The sequence below is a fragment of the Homo sapiens genome, chromosome 1, assembly GCF_000001405.40.
Source record: "Homo sapiens chromosome 1, GRCh38.p14 Primary Assembly".
Lineage (NCBI taxonomy): Eukaryota > Metazoa > Chordata > Mammalia > Primates > Hominidae > Homo > Homo sapiens.
In genome coordinates this window covers 116,316,508-116,338,044 of record NC_000001.11, presented here as the reverse complement: position 1 = coordinate 116,338,044, position 21,537 = coordinate 116,316,508, and the positions used below count along the sequence as shown (strand labels likewise).

Below are 21,537 nucleotides of genomic sequence, written 5' to 3'. Positions count from 1 at the left end.
CAAAGATGTCCATGTCTTACTTCCTCAAACCTGTGAATATGCTATGTTACATGACATAAAGGATTTCAGGTTGCAACGCATTAAGGTTGCAAATGCAATTATGGTTGCTTGTCTACCGACCTTGAGGAGAGGAGAGTATACTGGATTATCCAGGTAGGCCAAATATAATCACAAGCATCCTTAAACGCAGAAAACATTTCCTGGCTGTGTTTAGAAAGGGTTGTGACAGCAGAAGAAAGATCAGAGAGATGTTACATTGCTGACTTTGAAGACGAAGAAAGGGGTCCATAAGCCAAGGAATGTGGGCAGCCCCTAGAAGCAGAAAAGGGAAGGGACAGATTCTCCCTGAGTGCCTCCAGAGGGAACCTGCCCTGCTGACACCTGAACTTAGTCCAGTGAGACTGATTTTGGACTTTCGACCAGCAGAACTTTAACATTTAAAACGCTGTGTTGTTTGAAGCCACTAACTGGCTTAAAACGTAAACGACCACTAAGTTTGTGGTCATTTGTTTCAGCAATAGAAAACTAACGTGCCGAGTAACTTTGCATTGTATCCTGGCTGTTATGTTATGAGACTATTGGTTTTGTTTATGTACTTTGTGACTATTGATATTAATGTTTTAACAAGCAATTCAACCTAGGTGGATTCAGGTGGAACATTTTGCCAGCCTTCTGTGGGTTGTAGTTCAATGTCAATTCTGTTGTTCAAGCCTTTGTAGCTACTCAGATCTTTCTCCTGTTTTTGCCAAAGTCATTCCTCATAGCCTTTGGTGTGCTGTTTAGGATCAGATCGACACATACCCAGTACAGGATTGAGCCCAGGAGTTTATAAACAACTGTATGTGGCCACTTTCCTGAGTTATTCCCTTTTTGGGTTCTCGCTAGTACCTTTCAGTTCTCTGTGGCTCCTCTTTAATATCCTCTGGCCAGGAAGCCAGTGCTCTGTTTACCCTGCTGGGCTGCATGCTTCCTATGAACGTGGCCACATTTGGGCCAAGTAGTACGAGAACAAAGAGAGAGGGAAAAGAAAGGAATGGGGGTTCCCCATCCCCTTGACACCAGAGCTCCTCCAATCAGAGTGGAACGGTTCTCTGTGGGACCCCACCACTGCTGCTGTCACTGCCACTGCTGTGGGTGCCACAGGATTGCCTGGGGTGGAGTGTGAAAGAATGAAGAAGAGAAAGAAAAGACGGAAAGATGGGATTTCCCCCACACTCACTCAGCATTACCTGCACCTTGAGCCAGAACAAGATGGCACCCTTTCTATCCACACCTGGTGCTCACTTCTGAATTTTGGGCTACCGCAAACCCAGGCTAGGGGCTACGGAGCAGAAAGGGAACACTCACTGTTGATTCACTGACAGTTTGAGTTCTGGTCTTCTTTCTTAATCCATCTGCTACCATTTACTTTTCAGAGTCCTCAGATAGGCACGCCATGTGTTCTGTTCAGATTTTATTGTTGCAATGAGGGTGGAATGTGCTTGCCCCTGCCTCTCCTCTTAGTGGCTGCTAACACATTTTCCCTTAGGGGTTCTGTTCTATCAGGGCAGGCTGTGTCATGGCCTCACCACAGCTCCCTCTTTTCTTGCTGCCCTTAAATGAACTTAAACAGGCCACAGCCCAACATAAATCAATCGTGACAGAGCAGCACTCTTTATCAGTGCCACTTACCTGTTCCTGCCTACCTTGTGTTCTAGGACTTTTATTGGAAAAGCCACATAGAGGTCAAACTCTGTCTAGCTATCCGTCTATAAAGAAATCCAGACAGCGTAATGCAGCATTTTATGAACAACAAGTGGATCTTCTGGGAATGACAGAATCCTCCCTACGAATTAGAAGCATGGAAGGATTCGTTACACTTTAACATGTAAGCATGTTACCTACAACAAACTGTTGCCTTTCTAATATAAACTAGTTCCTCCTCACTGAAGAGTGGTGGAAATCTTTTGATGGTGTGGCTAAGAGAATGGAGTTTGCTCAGGTGTGAGCTTGTCCTCTTGTTCACGTCTCCGTGTGTGCCTGAACTTTGAGAAAGCGTTCTTATACGAGGAGGTTCCTTATTGTTTTTTGGGAACGCTGTAAGTCACTGCTCATGTTCAAAGTCCATCTATTGTATTGCAAGGACAGCTTTTCATCTTTTCCTTTATACTCTCAGAAGTGCTGATCCTTATTTTACATATTTTTCCCTTAATGTTTTTCCCTGTTTGCTTAATATTGCTGCTTGGTTTCCTAACCTGAGCAGTGTGTTGTCTGACCATCTGCCTCTGTTTTCTGCCCTTTTGTTTATGATTGGTCTATGCCAAAAATAATGGGTTTTTAAACTCCTTTTATTAAGAAAAACAGATAACCCTCATTGGGCAGAGAAAAAGGAGGCCAGGATGCTTCTGTGCTACCAGTAAACATTCCTGCTTAATTATTTCTTACCCAATTGTCATGTAGGCCAGTGCTTATCAAACATTAATATGCATATGGAATCATCTGAGGATTTTATTAAAATGCACTCTGATTTAGTTAGTCTGGGTTGGGAACTGAAGGTCTGCATTTCAGATACACTCACCCGTGATATTGATGCTGCTAAGCCTGCTGTCAGCACATTCAGGAGCTAGGACAGAGGCTATACAAGAGCATTTATCATTTGTATTTTAAGAGCTTTACTGATAGTGGCAGTGGTTTAAAAGAGAATACAAAAAACAAACCTGGGAATGTTACGTTGTTTAAGAAATGTTACTAAGCTCTTCTGATCATTGTCTCAGGTTGGTTCCCTGGGAAGCTTACTCTGAGATGGAGATTAGCACGTGGGGACGTATTAGGTAGAGTTCTTCTCTGTGAAAGAGGCAGAGGAAGCCGTGGAACTGTGATGCAGTCTCTGAAGGAGGGATGCCGCCTTAGAGTTTTCCTGAGCTCAGGGGAAGAGGGCTGAGCCTTTATAACAAACTCTGCCCAGTCATTGGATGCAGGCTGCCCCAGGAAGGGGCTGTGACCTTGAGCAAGGGGACTCTCATCACTGAGGCACTTCCTGTCCAGAGCAGGCAGCTACGACTGTTAGTAACAGGGCTTTCAGTACCAGAGGGACCATGTGGTGAAACATCCTGGCACACACGCAGTGTGGACCCCGGTCTTTCCTCTAGCAGATGAGCTAGTTTGAGCCCTCCTCTTCATTCTTATGCTGAAATTAACACCCTCAAACATAATTCCTTCTCACTACCTGGGCCTGAAAAGCCAACTGCAGTTGTCAACTAGCGTCAGTTCAAGCCCCTTGGTGGATACATTTTTTAAAATTTCTAGGCTAGATTTTTCAACATTGGGAAGATTCCTTTTAACATTTCTTCATAGCTTCCTTCTAAATCAGAGGTTCTGATGGTCATAAGAAAATCTCTATCTGAGACTGAGGGAGTGATTTGAAGCCTAAAAAGAAATGGTCTCTCTTCCTTGCAGAGAACAAAGGCCTTGAGTTATACATAGGCTGAATTAAAAAGAGAAGCGTTAGGACTGAAAAAGTCCATTTGTAGAGGAGTGAGGACAGAAAGAGCATAGGACAGGCTGTTTAATGATTTAAACTTATGCCTTATTGCATAATGTGAACTTTAACCTCTGCTAAGTATAGTTTGTGCCCTGAGAATCCTTCACACTTTAGTAAAAATAGTTGCACACTTGAATGGTGCCTGTGTGTGATGACTGCAGGGAAAAGGGCTGGGAGGTGCTGGGAGAGGAAGGAAGAGAAGCCAGGAACCCCTGGGGCAGGGTATCTTGAGTCATCTTGCCATTTAAATGCTCTAGGCAGCAATGGAGGGAGTTGTCCAACAGAAACAGCAGCAGGAGGCAGCTGGAGGCAGCTGGATGGTGGCCTGGAAGTTCCCTAGGCAACTGTGTAATGAAGCTGTGGGCTGCACCAAAGTACACCACTGCCTCCATACACCTTGCTTCTGTTGGTACCTCCTACTGGAGCTGAACTGTGACATGTAGGGGACAAAGCTTCCTGCGCAAGGTAGATTCTTGCAGCCCGAACATTGGGAAATCTAGTCCTCCAGTGTGAGAAATGTAGTCATTGAAGAGTGTGGGTCATGGAAAAGAGCCAGATACCAGGGAGCGGGAGCTCACTCAGGGCCTGGGCAGGAGCTCTACACAAAGGAAAGCACAAGAGCAGAGGGCCACACATGCCCTACAGTGGACTGGAGACCCCCTTGACTGGGAGGGATCCCTGTGTCACCACTGGACACAGACTGATGCCCGAGATCAGGGCCAGGGTTGGGAATTCTGAGTTCAACTCCGATGCATGGGCTAAAGAAAATACAAGAGGAATAAAGAAAAAGCAAATCTGGTTTTGCTTTTTTCACTGGGGTGACTGTAGGCACCAAAGGCATCAATTGTTGCTATTTACTTACTCCAGCTCCATGCCCTGATCCCTGTGGCACCAGAATTTTCCATATGCTTTCTGTACAGAGATGAGAATGGAAATGGTATCTGATGCCCCTGGGAAGGACTGTGTTGACTTATTTGTGCAATCATCTGAGGCATTTTATGAGGGCTAGGTTGTCAGAGAATCATGTCATGCAGGTAGAAGTAACGCAAGGTATGTCTGACAGAGAGCAGAGATGTCTCTGCCAGCCTTCACCCTATTCCCTAAGAGATTCTTCTGATGGCTTGATGCACATAGGAAAAACTTTATACAAATGAAGGCACACAGAAACTTCTCAACCGAACAAAATGATGCAAAACATTGAACAGATAGAACCACATCCTGGGGGATTATGGGTGCCCAGCCATTGATTTACATGAATATTTATTCCAGCAAGAAGGGAGAGAGCAGAAGCCAGGAAGGATTCAGTTGTATGGATCCTGTACTAAACACTTTTTCACAAATACCATAATTATCTTTCCTTTTATTCTTCCTTCACTAGATGACTTCAGGCTACTTCTTTGCTATTGCCACCTAAATGTAGGAAGAAGAGTTAAACTTATTGAGAAACTGCTATATACTTCATATGCTAATCTACAATAACCCAATGGGATAAAAAAATTTTTTAAAAACACATGAAGGAAACTCAGAGAGAATAGGTGTATGTGTCAGGGTTGGGGATTTTAAGCCCAGTTCTGATACCAAAACCTTGCTCTTATCAAACCCAGTTCTGATACCAAAACCTTGCTTTTATCAAACCCAGTTCTGATACCTAAACCTTGAGATAAGGTGATTCTCAACCCTATCTGCCTATGCACATCACCAAAGGAAGCTTGGAAAACACCAGTGCTCTGGACCCACCCCAGGCCAAATAAATAAAAAACTCTGGCTATGTAGGTTGGCACTGTACTGTAAAAATACCTCTCTGAATGATTCTAATGGATCCAGGCTTGAGAATCACGAGGCTCACTATACTTCCTCCTTCCCATTACCGGCAGGAGAAGCCCTGTGTTCCAGCCATCTGCACACTCTTTGGCTTTTCAGAAACATCCCAATCCTTCCAGCTTGTCCACAGAGCCCCAACAAATGAAAGACACATTTGAAGGTCTAAAGGTCATTCTCTTTATAACAAATGTGTGCAAGACATAACTGATGCAGGCATTCTTGTTAGCGGCATATAAATGAGTCTGATGAACACAATTTGAATTGCGCTGGAAGCAAAACAGCAGCTCTGAGAGATGTTTACTAATTGTTCTGCATTTGTTACATGATGTAGTAGGAAAAGCACTGCATTTGGAGCCATAAACACAAGATTCTTGTTTCTGTCTGCCTGCTAGCTAGCTTTAGTGTATGAAGAAAATTTCTTTACCCACCTGGACCTCAATTCGCTTACTTGTAGAATGTGGGTGTAGGATTTGAGGATATCTGAAATTACTTCCACCATCTGCCATGTGGATCAGGACATCACTGCTGTCTCAAAACCTTACAATATTCATCTAGAAGAAGGCTGTGTCATCTAGTCAGTGAGAGTTTACCTTAAATTTTTAAATCTTTTTATGTAAGCAAAAGTTATGAAATCACAAAAAGCTGTTTTCCCAAATAAAAATTAGGCCAAGATCTCTCTGTCTCTCTTAATACCCTTTAAAGAACAGTCTGAGGTAATTTAGAGAGTCTAATACTTATGCTTAAATGTTCATTACAGGTTTCTTCAGTGACATGTGCGACCTTGACTTTTAATTATTCAAGAGTGGCAAGTATGGAACCTAAAGTGGATTGTTGACACAAGATGCCTGGAAATAAGGTAACCCTTCTCTCTTTTTCTCAAAGTAGTTTTTGATGGAAGTATTAAAGATGCATTCGTTCTAGAGAAGATTAATTTAGCCCAGTGGTAATTCTGAAATTTAGGCATTATTCATATTTGCTGACAATGAATATTAGAGGAAGTCCAAGGACATAGCCCAGTGAGGCTTTTACTAGCTTAGGGCTTGTACAATGCAGATGCCCAGAGACCCAATGGTAGGCCTGTCCTGGAATGGGAACTGCCAATTTCCTAAAGGGCTGATTTGCAGCCTTCTACCAACGCCTTTCTAAGGCACCACGGAGCAGTAGATGTGCTCTGACAAATCGGCTGAAGCGTGCAAGGCTCTGCTGAGAAGTCGGCCACTTAATTGTAGGTGCAAATGGGAGCTGGGAGTAGACACTTAGTGATATTGATTAATTCTGTGTTTCCAAACTGAGCTCAAAGGTGTCCAGGGTCTTGCAAGATGTCCCAGAGGAGGACTCAGAAGGAGCAGGAGATGCTGAGCAGGGAAGGTCACTAGAACCGCCTTCTGATGCAGCCTGAGAGGCTGTAATTTTCTGCATTGCACCTCTCTAGGTTTTCTTGGGGAAAATGTCCTTTGGCAAACAAATAAAACCTTGACTTGAACTTCATTGGAAATTGCTCTTTCTTAAAAGCTATTCTCCAGAATTCTATCCTTAGGTCTTCTCTCACACTACATCAGCAAGCACTTTTCCTTCTAACACCCTATGACCTGTTGGTGATGTTTCCTTGTATTGCTTCTACTAAACAACTCTTCCAACCCCATGGAAGTGCATTCTCACCTGACTCAGCCAAGAAATATTTAACCAGCATCTACTCCTGAGGAGAGCAACACCTTTTTCACTTCCATAAGCAGGACCTACAGGACCTCATAAAAGGAATCCTCCCCTCTGTGAAGATTTATATTTTTTAAATAGCACAAGTTAAAGAAGAGTTTCTTACCATTTGCCTGGGCCCTGAAGTTCAGCCTTTGATTGGCAGATGGGTGATCATGCTCACCCAAGTCACTTCAGGGGCCAGCAATGAGCTTGGAGGGGCAGGATTCAGCTTGAACTCCTATCCCACTCCCTCCCACCCTCTCCAGAGCTCACAGGCCAGTTAGGCTTTTCTCTCCCTTCTTTTTTAATGGGACACTACCTTGGGAGATGGCCTGTATAGGTCCAGAGTGAAAGGCTTCACATTCCAAGGAGTAATCACAAACTGGAACAAATCCCTCTAGAAAGTTCACAGGTGCAGACTGTGAGAATAGTATGTTCCAGTCTGAGGTACTTACGAGCCTGAATACCACGGCTCCCAGCTGGCACAGGTGTTTACCGAGAGCTGGACAACCCATTTTTGTCTTGAGGCAGGCTTTTTGCCCCATTAACAGTTCTGTTTCAACAGTCTGGTGGTTTTAGATTCACTTCTCCCCTCCCCACACCGCTTAGCCATAATAAAGATAGGCTATGGAGATCAGATTTCTCTTTGTACACTGTGTTTTCATTCCTTCTGATTAAACATTTCCTGTGTTTTCCTAGCCTGTGACAATCCTGTCAAAGCCTCGGTCCGGTTCTCAAGCCTCCAGCCCTTAGCCCCAATTCTTGTGAAATCAGGATAGGGGCTACGTTCTCTCAAGGCTTAGGGCCCAGGTTTTCTTCCTAAGAAAACATCTTTGAAGATAACAACGGATTGTTAATTACTTGGAGATCCCCAGGCCCAGATGCAGGTGTGCCTCATCTTTTGCATGATATACTCCCTGAAATGAGAAAGTATTTTCATGCATGAGTGCATAAATTCATTCTTTAAGGGGAGGAAAAAAACTACTTTTGAAATTGCTCCCTAATTAATCTGTAGGTTTGGATTTTTATAAACATTGAGTTTCCTTCTGGTCTAATCGTGACGCCCCCAACTCACCACCCCTGAAGGCAGAGCATTTCCTTCTCCCTGTGAATGCCCCCATTGCTCCTCTCTTGTCCTGTCCCACAGAGAATGAGCCCAGACTCCCTTCTACTTTTCTGCCATTGTTTGTCTTACTCTACCCCGGGCTCACACAGCCTGCTTCTGAATGGTGCCCTTGTGGGTGAGATGCTTCTGAAGCCTGTGGCAGGAACAGCGAGTGCCCTGGGGCTGCCTGGTGTGGGATCCTGCTTGTTTGTGGTGGTTTGGCCAAACACAGATGATAGCCTTGGCAGTATGAACAGGATCCATGTCAGTGCCATGTCAGTGTCTTGTTTATCCTAAGGAAGAGGAAAGTGGACAGCATTTAGTTTTTGATGACTTGTGGCGGATGATGTCTTTCTTCCTGTGGATTATTTCTGAGCTATGATAAATCTTGGGATCTCACTCATGCAAAAATTAATGAAGAGACTCTCTCTACAAGATGAGCAATCGGGGTAATTGCTTTGGGACTCCCTCATCTAGGAACTGTGGCAACTGAGGAATTTGGAGGGGCAGTGCTGGGGATCACACTCACCCCCAATTATTACCGGCAAGCATATTCCTGTCTATGGCCTATTAGTGATGTTTCCTTGCATTGCTTCTACCACCTAAGTGTTGTGTTGGATTTTGTGAGTACCACTGACCAAGGCTGACCTTGATGTCCATTTAAACCAGAATTCACTGTGTGTAGATATTATCAGACTGGTAAACAGGGGGACCTGCCCTCTGTCATGAACCTTGACTTCAACTCCATTGGAAATTGCTCTTAAACGTTGTCCTCCAGAGTTCTGTCCTTAAGGCGTCTCTCGTACTACATCCTCCATGGGCGATTTCATCTATTCCTGTGGATGTAACTTCCACCTATATGCTGAGGTCTTCTAGACTCAGGCTTCAAGATTTCTCTAAGACATATAGATTCACATGTCTCACTACCCCTTGTTAGCTCTATGTGGGTGTCTTCTAGGTGCCTTGAATTAGACATCGAGAATTTAACTCATTACCTTCTTCCCCAACTAGGTTTTTCTTCTGTGGCACTTCTTCTGGTGGGTTGCATCATCATCATCATCACATACATGTAAACTCAAGACAGAAACTTAGGCATCAGCCTAGAGCCCTTCCTCTTCCTTTGTCCCCATTTCATGTTACTGACCTGTTTAAAAAACGTCAACCATTCCTATCTCCTTCAGAATTGAATTGAAACTTTTTAGCATGGCACAAAGGGCCCTTGTCATCAAGACCCTGAGTATGTTCATATGATCCATGCACTTGCTTCAGCCAAGGGTAGCTTTGGCAGCTTTCTGAGTTAGCTATTTTTTTTTGTACACACAGCCTCTGCATACGGTTTTGTTTTGTTTTTTTAAATTCTGGGAACACCCTTCGCTTTCTTCTCTTTTACTAATTTCCATTGCTTCAAGACTGCTCTCGTGTCCTCTTTAATGCTTTCTCTGACATATCCCCTTCTCTCTCTAACGATGTCCCATCATGGGAATTAATAGTTATTGCATTTCTGCTGGGGACTTAGTATTTTGAATATATTTACATATCTTATCTTTTTCTCATCTGCTCATTAATCCTGTAAAAAAGGTATCATTATCCTGGTTTAATAATAAGGAAACTGGGCTCATAGAGGTAAAGAAACCAGGGAGCTTATTAAAAATGCAAATTTTCAGGCCTTCTCCCAGGCCTCTGAATGAGAATCTCTGTGGGTTCCTCCAGCAATCTGAATGGTTTCTCCAGGTGATTCTGAGGCACACTGAAGTTTGGGGGGCATTGTATCACACAGCTTGAAGAAACTGCATGGAGCATGAAGAGAGCAATTTTGGAATGGTGGTCCTCAGGAAAGGACTTTTCTCTCAAGTGCTTGAAAACCAACTTAATGTCACTTAGAGATAGTCAAGATATGATTTTAAGATGGAATTTAGTTGAAGAATGAACTGGTATATATGGGTTATATAGGCACAGGCAAATTATAACCAAATACACCACTGAACTTTAGGAAAATCCTCTTTGAGACCATGACTATAGACAAGGTATGATCTTGTTTGGCAAACAATTACATCTCCTTAAAGTGTCCTCTGGGAAAAGAGTGAATTGGGGGCAGATTGTCCCAAGTATATATCATCTTTTTTATTTTAAAGCCATTCATCTTTTCTCCTGGGTTAGCAAATATTTCACTTTCCAACTTAGGACTATGTGGGGTGTGACTAGGGTTTAGGGTGATTGTCAGGAATTCTTATTTTTTATTAGGGGTCTCTTGCAATTGAAAGTCTTTCATTACCAAAGCTATGCATTCTTTTCTAAAGATAAAATTTCAGGCCAATATGGGACATTTGGGGAGTAAAAATCCTCAAAAGGATGACCTCCTACTGAGTCAACTTACAGAACTGACCCTGCTAATAACCAAGAAGTGACACAGAGTATGTTACAGGATATTTATGGGGTATCCTTAACTACTAACACTGCTGCTGAAAATAATAATAATAATACCTGCCATCTATTGAGCATCATTTTACAGGTAAGGATATTGAAACTTAGAGAAGCAAAGTAGTTTGTCCCAAGTTATAATATGGGGTTATTAACAGGTCTTTGCAGAGAATTCAGGATGATACAAGATGAAAAAAATCTTTTTTTCTTCCACCTACCTCTAACAACATCATACACTCTAAGTATCTTGAAATATCATTTACACTCAGTATTACATCAACATTTTGGTACTTATTAAACCTGCCTCTAAATCTTATTACTTAATGCACCAATAATGAGGTAGAAATATTACTATAGCACAATTTTTATAAGTGTTCTGATAGCTTTTAACATTATTATATCTCAATAAAAATTATCTACTCTGTAATCTTATACACTTTATTTTATGCATTTAAAAGCCTCATACTGGGAAATGGTCCATACGCTTCAATCTCAGTTGCTAAAGGGATTTACAATATTAGAAAAAAAAAAAAAAAAAGGGTAAGATCCCCTATGGGTGGTTGGGCTTGAATTCAAACCCAGCTCTGACTGATCATAATACCCATTTTTTTTTTTTCATGCTACCTGTCTGCTTGGTGTATTTTGGCCCAAGGTTAGCAGTACATTGATGATGCTCTTTGTCAATACTCAGAGCTGTAGCCAACCAGAACTATTCAGGCACAAAGGGAGAGCAGCTGGGAATAGGGAGTGCCTCTCCCGGTTGTAAGTCACACTCTGGGTTAATCCTTCAACTGAATCCAAAATACTTTGGCTTTGAGAATGAACCTGTGTGCCCTGTGACAGAGGAAATTTCAAAATTATTGGCAGCATTAATAATGTTTATTGTGTGCCAATATGTGTTGGTTTCTATCCTGGCACCTTAAGAGAAGCTTAGTAAATATTTATGGGGCAGACACAATGCACAGGCATTGTGATAGGCAGTGTGAAGAAAGAAGGGAAAAGACTGAGTTTCTCTTTCAGACTAAGCAGTCCAACAGGGCAAAAACAAGCAAACTATTTATCAAATTATTTATCAGAAGTTGGGGATGGAGAAGCCCAAGGAAGAGAAGGAACTGGCTAGAGCCACGAAGGGTAGGCAGGGTGGGTGGATTTGGGGGTAGAGGAGGGCCTGGAGCCATACAGGAAAAGGCAGAGTGTTTTTGGCAGAACCATGATTGACTGTGTGACTGTCACACTCTTGGGCAATGGCTTACCAGTCCCTACGCAACCTGGAGCCCCACCACCTCTCCCAGGACAGCTGCTCTTCTTTGAACAGCTCAGGCCTGCTCCTGACTCAGTGCCTTTGCGTTTGATATTCCTTTCCCAGAAACACTCTTCCCTTGATATTTTGGAGGCCCACTTCCTCATCTTGATGTTTTCAAGCAGGTGTTACCTTTGAAGTAAGGCTTTTCTGATCACCCTGTTGAAAGCCACAATCTGTCTCCTCACCCCAGCACTCCACCCATTTCCTGCTTTAGTTCTCTCCAAAATAGTGATTATCACTGACACTGTATCAGTGTTTCTTAAACCTGAGTACTTATCAGAATCACCTAGAGGGCTTATTAAAACAGTCTGCTGAGCCCATCCCCAGATTTCTGATTCAGTAGATCTAGGGTTAGGCCCAAGAATTTGCATTTCTAAAAAGTTCCCAGGTGATTCTGATGCTGCTGGTCTGGGAACTCACTTTGAGAACCAGTGTATTATAAATTTTATGTCTATTGCCTGTCTCTTTCCACTAGAAGGTAAGCTGTTTACAGCAGGGATTTTTTGTGCTTTGTTCACTGTTGTACTTCCAGTGTCGGAATAGAGCCTAGCACATTGAGAATGCTATCTGTTGAGCAGAGAGGCAGATGTGGGATGCTGGTGTGCAGTGTGAGCTAAGTTTAAAAAAGAAAGATCAGACCATATCCTCGCTAAATTATTATAGAAATAATACTATATTATTATGAATATAACATTTATTTTAACAAAAGCAATTACCAATTACTGAATGTTTCTACTGTGTCAGGCCATTTAACAATGAGGTTGGGAGATACTGTATGCTTTGCTTTGCCTCAGACCACACAGTACGTGTAGTAGGTGACTTAGGTCTGCCTGACTCCAAAAAGATGGCCTTAACCACTGTGCTACAAAGCTGTCTAATGATGGACTTTTGAACTTTTTATTTCAAAATAGTTGTAGATTGACAGAAACGTTGCAAAGATGATACAGAAAGTTTTCATATACTCTTCATTCAGCTTCCTCTAATGTTAACAACTTACATAACTATGGTACATTTATCAAAACTAGGAGATCAATGCTGGCACAATACTATTAACTAAACTTCAGATTTTATTCAGATTTTACCTGTTTTTCCACAAGAATGTCCTTCATCTGTTCCTGGATTCAATCCAAGATGCCATTGTCTAGCAATTTTTAGAGACTTACTACTTGAGAAACTTAAATGTGGGCCTCATGAAATCCTGATGATACAAAGATGAGGAAAACGCAGTACAGCCCTTGAGGTGCATATGACAGGAAACAGATCCAGGAGTAAAGGGGTTCTCCTGGGACAGAGGGAAGCTCAGGGTGTTCTAAGGGCCAGAGCAAAGTGGAAAGGCAGGCCAGCCTTGGAGTTTGAGAAGGCTTCCTGGCAGTCAGGCAGGAAGAGCAATGTGAATAGGTATTGAAAGTCACTGAATTTCAGCAGAAGGAAAGGCCAGAGCGTGATGGTGGTTCAGGAGAAGCAATAGGAAGAGACTGGTCAGGAAACACCAAGAACTGAGACATTATCCATTGGTGCTGGGGACTAATGAGGCTCTCTTCCAGGGTGCCAACATAGTGAGCTATTTGTTTGTATTGGACTCTTCTGGCTGGAGTGTGTAGGCTAAATGCTTATCTTTTGATAATAAACCTAATTGTTTATATAAGCCTTCCAATATCTTTTTTTTTTTATGTAGAGACTGAGTCTCGCTCTGTCACCAGACTAGTGCGCAGTGGCACCATCTCAGCTCACTGCAACCTCTGCCTCCTGGGCTCAAGCAATTCTCCTGCCTCAGCCTCCCGAGTAGTTGGGATTACAGGCGTGCCACCATGCCCAGCTAATTTCTTTTGTATTTTAGTAGAAACGGGGTTTTGCCATGTTGCCCAGGCTGGTCTGAAACTCCTGAGCTCAGGCAATCTGCTTGCCTCAGCCTCCTAAAGTCCAGTGTCATTTTATTATACAGTCATGCACTATATATATATATGTGTGTGTGTGTGTATATATATACATATATGTATATATATACACATATATACATATACACACACACACACACACACACACACACACATATATATATATATATATATATATATGATGGTCCCATAAGATTATAAGGGAGCATATGTAGAAATCTGATATATGGGACTTGATACTGGCATTGCAGCTCAAGCAGGGGAAATGACTGATATTCAGCAATTGTGCTGGGACATTTGGTTTTCCATATGAAAACATATATAAATAAAAACATATATACCATCTATGTTTGTGTAAGTACACTCTATGATGTTTGTTCAAGGACTAAATTGCTTCAGTACACATTTCTCAGAATGTATCCCCAGCGTTAAGTGACATATGACTGTACTTATATATGGGAGGCAGTATAAGATAGCAGTTAACAGCACAGGCTCTGAAAAGAAGCCTCCTGGGTTGAAATTCCACCTGACTCCACCTTTTCCCACTGTATGACTTGGAGAGTTACTTATCTTTCCATGCCTTGCTTTTTCCCACTTGTGAAATGGGAATAACACCAATACCTATCCCACAGTGTTGAAAGGATGAAATGAAATGGTGACTGTAGGCACTTAGCACAGCGTCTGTACACAGTAAACAGTCAATGTCAACATCAGCTATTATTGTACAAGTATGTGTCTATTTCACACCATGTCTGTATTTAGTAGATGAAAGCCAAGATACCTGAATAGCCTGAATACCATTTTCTAAGAGCTTTCATATATATAGTCTCATCATACCTTCAGCATGATTATTGTACCTGTTTTATAGACAAGGAAAGTAGAACATAGCAAAGTTAAATGACAAACCTACAATCAAGGAAAAGGGCCAAGTCTTTTATTTACATTCCCAGATTTTTTATGCCACTACTGGAACATTGACCAAGGTTCATTAACATAAAGGAACAGTTAGAAAAATAATGAACTGTCTGTTCTTTGGGTCCTATCTAGAAGATAAGCCTTTATCAGCAGTTTTACTGCATAAAATATTTTATGAGTCTGCCTTCTGTGGTGAAATGTCGGACTTGTGAACATTTGAGCAACCTGCAAATGCAGACTGATTTCGCTTGCAAAGGGCCAAAGAACCCCCAGGGTTTGACAAATTGTTAGTTGTCATAAACACAGCTCACAGATTTGGCCCTTGGAGATAAGTCTTAGGGGTTGAGCAGACAAGAATTAACTCCCTGTGTAACTTCAGGTGAATTGCTTAACCTTTAGGATTCTCAGTTTATTCATCTGGGAAGTGGGCATTCTAATATTGGAGGTATAAAAGACACATGCATTGTACAGACCCTGGCATTCAGACAGCATTCATTAAGCGGGAGTCATCTCTTCCTACTCCATCCCTTTCTCATAGTTGTAAATTATCTTTGGCAAAGGGCATGAAATAGCATAGATGTGCAAGGAACTCTAAACAATATAATTTTACCAGAGGTGTTAAATGTAAGGCAGGAAGAGACTTTAAAAATCAGTTTTCGGGCAGATAATAAAACCAAGATGTGTTTTTCTCCATTAAAATCTCTGAGAAGTCAGAATCAGCAATTGGATGCTGTAGTTTTCACTTTAACTACATTTGAATTTTATTGTGCTAATGAGGACTGAAATTTTGATTGCACTGGTGACTTCAAGTGTCTCTGGTGGTCTGGTGTCGTTGTGGAGGACAGTGTGGACTGCTATGCTGGACAGACCTCATCAGCAAGGGAGTCCTGACCATAGCAGGCCTCAGCTGACATATACTTGGGCTCAGAGCTGAATGCCATGTCACCTTATGTCTAAAATGTGTTCTGGATGTTTCTCTCAGTGAGGTTTCAAACATATTTATGTGTGCGTGTATATATACGTGAGCATATGTGTATATCTGTGTATGTATATATGCATATGAAAGGAAAATATATCTGAAATAAATATATAAAAGAAAAGAAATAAATATGTATATGAAAGGAAATAGCTGGCAAATATTGCAAGACAGCTAGTCACCAAATTCATATTCAAGGATCTTATACAACATCTGTGAGCTGTCCTACCTTCCAAGCTGAATTCTCAAAGTGACAGTTCTTAGAAACACCACTCCTTTTCTGGTTAAGTGGGTCCGTGTTTCAGAAGGAGCTCCCATTTCCAGCGCCTGTGACAAAGCTGCTTTTGATCAATATTTGAACAGGCTCCTGCGCAGGCAGGGACACACTGAGAGGCACAGGTGCGGATGTGCATGTGGCCTCTTCCCATGGCCCCTCTGGCCTCTCTAACTATACTTGGAATAAACTGCCCAATAGCAAACATTCATTGGAGAACAGATCAGTGTGGCTGAGGCGACACTAGCCAGCCAGTCTTTGCCTAGATGTGTTATCTGTGCTCCATAGTCTCTGGGCTAGCTGGTGGTTACTAGTCACTCAGCAAGCACATTTAGCTGTGCACTGAAGCTGGCAGGAGCTGACAGGACCAGGTTTCATTTTCCTGCAGGGACTGGCCACTCTCAATTGGCTTTCTTTTAATATTGAACATGAATTTCAGATCTGTTCCCAGCAATGGCTGAATGGGGTCCTCATCTTTCCTGTGCGTTATGCTCCCACCTATTTCCCCATTTCATGTAGTCCTAGGGCTTTAGCTAATATTTGCCAGTAACTGGTGATAACCAGAGTGTTCACCTTTCCATGCTAGACACATTTCTATATGCTGACCTTCATAGTGGGAGTGGGCATCTGAAGACCCATATTCCAATTGTTTTTGTTTCTACCCAACTAAAACTCATAGAAAACTCATTTAACGCTTTTTCATCTGTTTTGAAATCCATTAAATAGAGATTATTATCCCTGCTCCATTTACCGCCTAAGAATGTGGTGGAGATAAAATAGGATCACATATATAATAAGGTAGCTCAAAAATTAAGAGGCATGCAGAAATGAAGGTGGTGGTACAGTTGTAACAGGGAAGCTTAATTGCTTTGGATTCCACTGCTGCAGAGTTCCCGACTACTTAGAGGAAGCAGCACAAAAGTGTACCTTTGCCCTGTTATGAAAAAAAGGATTTGTTAAATAATTGAATGATGTGAAATAATATATGAGGAATATGTATAACCTACTTATGAGAATGATAGGGTTTCATAAACTTAGCAGCAGTCATTTACAAATTAAAAATTCATGAGTCATTCTTCTGTGTTCTCCATAGTAAGTAATGGAATACCTTGACATAGCAACACTTAGCTGTGAAAATAAAAAACATAGCACTAAAAGGGAACTTTCAGTTCATCTAACCCCAAAACCTCGTTTTACCAGTGATGAGACTGATTTTCAAGGATAAATAACTTGTCCAAGTTCTCTCAATCTGCTGGAAAAACAAAAAAAAACCAAAAATTCGTGTCTGCCACCATTCAGGCTGACTCCTTTGTTGGCTTGATTAAAGATCAGTTTTTCAGTTCTGAAGGACTAATTCCTGTTTCCTTGTAACGGGAACTTCTACAGAAACACAGACTCACCAGTTATGAGAACTTGAATATTGCCTCCCTTTCTCCCTCGACCAACAGTGGATCCAGGTTTTATTGGGGGCCTGAAGCTTTTTAAATTTGGAGTTTCCTCTGTCAAAAAAAGAACCAAAATTATAAGTTAAGAATTAGGTACAAATATGAATGTTTATCTGTTTTAATTTTTTTTTTTTAAGAGACGGTCTCCTTCTGTCTCCCAGGTTCGAGTGCAGTAGCACAATCAGAGCTCACTGCAGCCTCAAATTCCTGGGCTCAACGGATCCTACACTTCAGCCTTCCAAGATGCTGAGTCCACAGGCATGTGCCACCATGCTTTGCTAATTTTAAATGTTTTTGTAGAGACAGGGTCTTGCTATGTTGCCCAGGCTTGTCTTGAACTCCTGGCCTCAAGCAATTCTCCTGCCTCAGCCTCCCAAAGTGCTGGGATTATGGGTATTGAGCCACCATATCTGGCCTTATTAGATTGAGAGAATCACAAGAAATTAAAAATTTTAACGTGTTGGCACAAATATCACAAATCCAGAAAAATAGCGAAATATTTTTATTAGCTCCCTGCCACTGCTCCAAAAACCTTTTTAAAAAACATCTTTGGGTTGCAAACTCTTTGATTACTTCTTTATTATAATTTTGAGATGTCACTACCTAAAGAGAAGAGAAAGATAATTTAACATTTTCTCTGGAATGGTTGATCACAAATTTTTTTTATTACTGATACTTCTAAAAAATTGTCTTTTAGCTTTCCAACTTGTAATTGGGAATGTCATGAAAAAAATTTTTTTTTTTTTTTTTTGGGACGGAGTCTCGCTCTGTCCCCCAGGCTGGAGTGCAGTGGCGCGATCTCGGCTCACTGCAAGCTCCGCCTCCCGGGTTCACACCATTCTCCTGCCTCAGCCTCCAGAGTAGCTGGGACTACAGGCGCCCGCCACCACGCCTGGCTAATTTTTTTGTATTTTTAGTAGAGACGGGGTTTCACCGTGTTAGCCAGGATGGTCTCCATCTCCTGACCTTGTGATCCGCCCGCCTCGGCCTCCCAAAGTGCTGGGATTACAGGCGTGAGCCACCGCGCCTGGCCGAAAATTTTTATGATTGTTTTCAAATTTGAAAAAAAGTCTATCATTTTTGTCATATATTAACTGTTCCATATATGTAGGTACACAGGTTTATAGGGCATGTACTCTGCCATTCTGCTCAGAGCACATGTGCTACAAACGTAGGAATTCTCATAAACTATTTCTCAAAACTCTCATTCAAAATAACAGCAAAAGGGGCTAATTTTTTTGTAATTGTATACACTACATTTTCAGGCATCTTTATGATAAGAGAGAGTTTGCAGTCTGATGAGGTGTTGTGAGAACTGAATCTTCCACTTACAACTTTCCACATCTGCTGTTTGAAAGAATTCTCTATATACAATCTTTGGCTTGATACATTTCAGACTTTATTTCTCCTCCACTTTCCATCTGTAACCGGTGCTGGGAGCTGAAGGACACGTTCTCATTTCCCCATGACCTCCAGCCTCGCATCTGATACTAAGCAGTGGGTGCGTCAGCACAGCGGTGACAGGGAGTATTTCAGAAAGCCATTTGTGCTCTGGAATGGCTGGCAGTAACATAACTATGCGTAGAGGTGGCTGTGACCTACACAAATATATATCTTCATGAACACAAGCTAAACTTGTCACTCATTCATCTTTCCCTTAACTGCATTCCAGAAATGCCTGCAGCCCCCTCCAATGCTGCCCCACCCAAAGAGTTATGTGAGGGAGTGGGAATCCGAGTGAAAGAGGCCGCATTCTAAATCGCAAAGCCTTATCAGCTTTGCAAATTTTACAGTGACAGGTGACCATGTAAACACATTGGCAAGACTCCTCCAGGGCCCTGGAAGGGGCCAATGCAAGGGACAGGTCCTGAGGTTAAGCTTCATTGACCTCATGGTGAAAGGGAGGTCTCTAGTCCATGGAAGAGAAAGAGCTATAGCTCTCAACATTCTGGACAGAATGTAGCATGCAACTGCAAGGGCAGAGTTGAGGCTGTTGTCTGGATAAACTGAGAAGCAAGAAGTCTCAGGTGCTTAGTCCAGGTCAGGTCAGTGGTTTCACCAGCAGTTTCCAGCAGAGGTAACTGCAGTAGCGTGCACTAGAGTAGGCGTCCTGCTACATTGGACTGCCTGGGAGAGAGGGCCTTGTGGTGCTAACTGGGTGTCATCATGTCTTCTGTCCACTGAAGCTCATCCTTCATGGGCCAAGACACCAATGAAAAACCAAGTTACCAATTCCTTGAAATGATGTCACTAAAAAGCAATCACTTTGTTACAATTTAAACATAATATTTGCATCTAAATTTGGACTATTGCATCCTAACAAATATTTATGTTCTGTACACATCAACTAATATTAGAGACAGTCTGGTGAACAAAGAGAGAACATCTTATTAAAAGTAAAATTCTCAGCCAGATGTGGTGGCTCACACCTGTAATCCCAGCACTTTGGGAGGCCGAGGTGGACTTCAAGACCAGCCTGGCCAACATAGTGAAACCCCATCTCTACTAAAAATACAAAAATGTGTCAGGCATAGTGGTGCGTGTCTGTAATCTCAGCTACTCAGGAGGCTGAGGCAGGAGAATCACTTGAATCCGGGAGGCAGAGGTTGCAGTGACCTGAGATGGTGCCACTGAGCACTAGCCTGGTGACAGAGCGAGACTCCATCTCAAAAATAAATAAATAAATACAAATAAAAGTAAAATTCTCATGGTGGTTCAGATCCCACACGGACAGCCATTGTCCTGGGGTCCCGTTTCCAATTTATCCTAATGGTGTGTTTTACGATATGAGCTTGAAGAAAAGTAATAAAAAGTTTTTTTTTAAGTATTCTGAAATCTGATTTTTTAATCAAGTCAGTTCGGTGTTTGACTCTCTATAGAACTCAGACTCTTAGGGCAATGAGTCCCATCTGTGTCTCCTGCTTTCCATTCTTTCTTCAGTCTCCATATTTGCATTTCTGCCCTATTACAACAGCCTTTTAATCAAGCTCTCAGAATCCGGATCTCGCTCCCCTAGTCCACCCTATACTTTGTTGCCACTTAAATCCTCTGAACTGGCCTTGATTAGGTTCTCCCTTCCTTGCCAGCTTCACTGGCTCTCCCCTGACCACTGCAGGCTAGCGGTGGTGCCCAGGACGCTGTGTCCATCCTGCAGTCTTGAGGGGAGCACACTGAGGACAATGCTGCCACAATGAGGATGGCAGAGAGGAAAAATGGAAAGAGCCTCAATCACGGAGACTCAGTCAACCCTGGAGCTGCTCTACCTTGGGACTTCTTAACGTGTGTAAAATGACATTTTCCTCATTGTCGAAGCCATTTTGATCATTTTCATTTGTAAATGAAAATTTACATTTTCTGTAAATTGTAGCCAAAAGCATTGAAAATTACAGAGCTATTTTGCTAACTTGGGCAGGAAGAAGGAGCAGGATATACCATGTCCACTTGGTATTTTTAGACATCACATAGAGATAGTACATAATGATGGAAGAAATACATGCAAAAAAGAAGCAGTTATGAAATCAGTCCCTATGGAGCTAAAGTAGGAGCTTTTCTAAGGCAAAAGTCTGGGTTTATGAGAGGTGTTGCTGAGTAAAAAGCAACAAGAACTCTGCAGAGGTTATCTGTGGCTTTGTTCTATTGAGGACTTCTTTTGCTCTTCCTTTTTGCTCTGTTCTACGGGGCATCATTCCTTGTGATTCAGGTAAGGCTGAACCTGTCACAGGAGTGGGCTGGAGAGGGAGGCCTGGCCAGCAGGACGTGGCACCCCTCAAGCCACAGTGATTGGTTGAGAAATAGGCATGTGGATTTTCACTAAGATTTGATATGGTTAAAATAGACCCTGGGAGAAAGAAAGGGTGCTCCTCTCCCTACCCCCGGGGTCATGGGTCGTAAGGTTTCTATCCAGAGGAGAGAGCCCTGTGAAATTAAAGCCAGTCAGAACTCAGAGGAAAGTTGCACTGAAAGATGGGGAAGATAGAGCCCCTGAGTGCAGCCAAGCCTGAGGCCAAAGTCTACCTTTAGACTTGTCATGACCATGAACACATTTTGTCCTTGGTGTGCGTGAGTCAGTTTGCACTGATTTTCTGTCAGTGGAAGAGGGAGGCCCTGGATCTGCCATTGTGATCAGAGTGAGACCAGGTGGAGAAAAATGTGCAGGAGATAAGAAACCGT

At 42.3% G+C, this 21,537-nt stretch overlaps 1 long non-coding RNA gene across 4 annotated transcripts in view; it reads left to right on the top strand.

Moving 5' to 3' along the window:
• Positions 1–1,726: 1,726 nt before the first annotated feature.
• The window catches only part of LOC105378920 (uncharacterized), a 58,385-nt gene continuing 38,574 nt past the window's right edge, over positions 1,727–21,537 (top strand). For all 4 annotated transcript variants that reach the window (XR_001738197.2, XR_947728.3, XR_947729.3 and 1 more), the window contains exons 1-2: positions 1,727–1,867; positions 6,099–6,197. This is a non-coding gene — a long non-coding RNA (uncharacterized LOC105378920). The remainder of the gene's footprint in view (positions 1,868–6,098; positions 6,198–21,537) is intronic.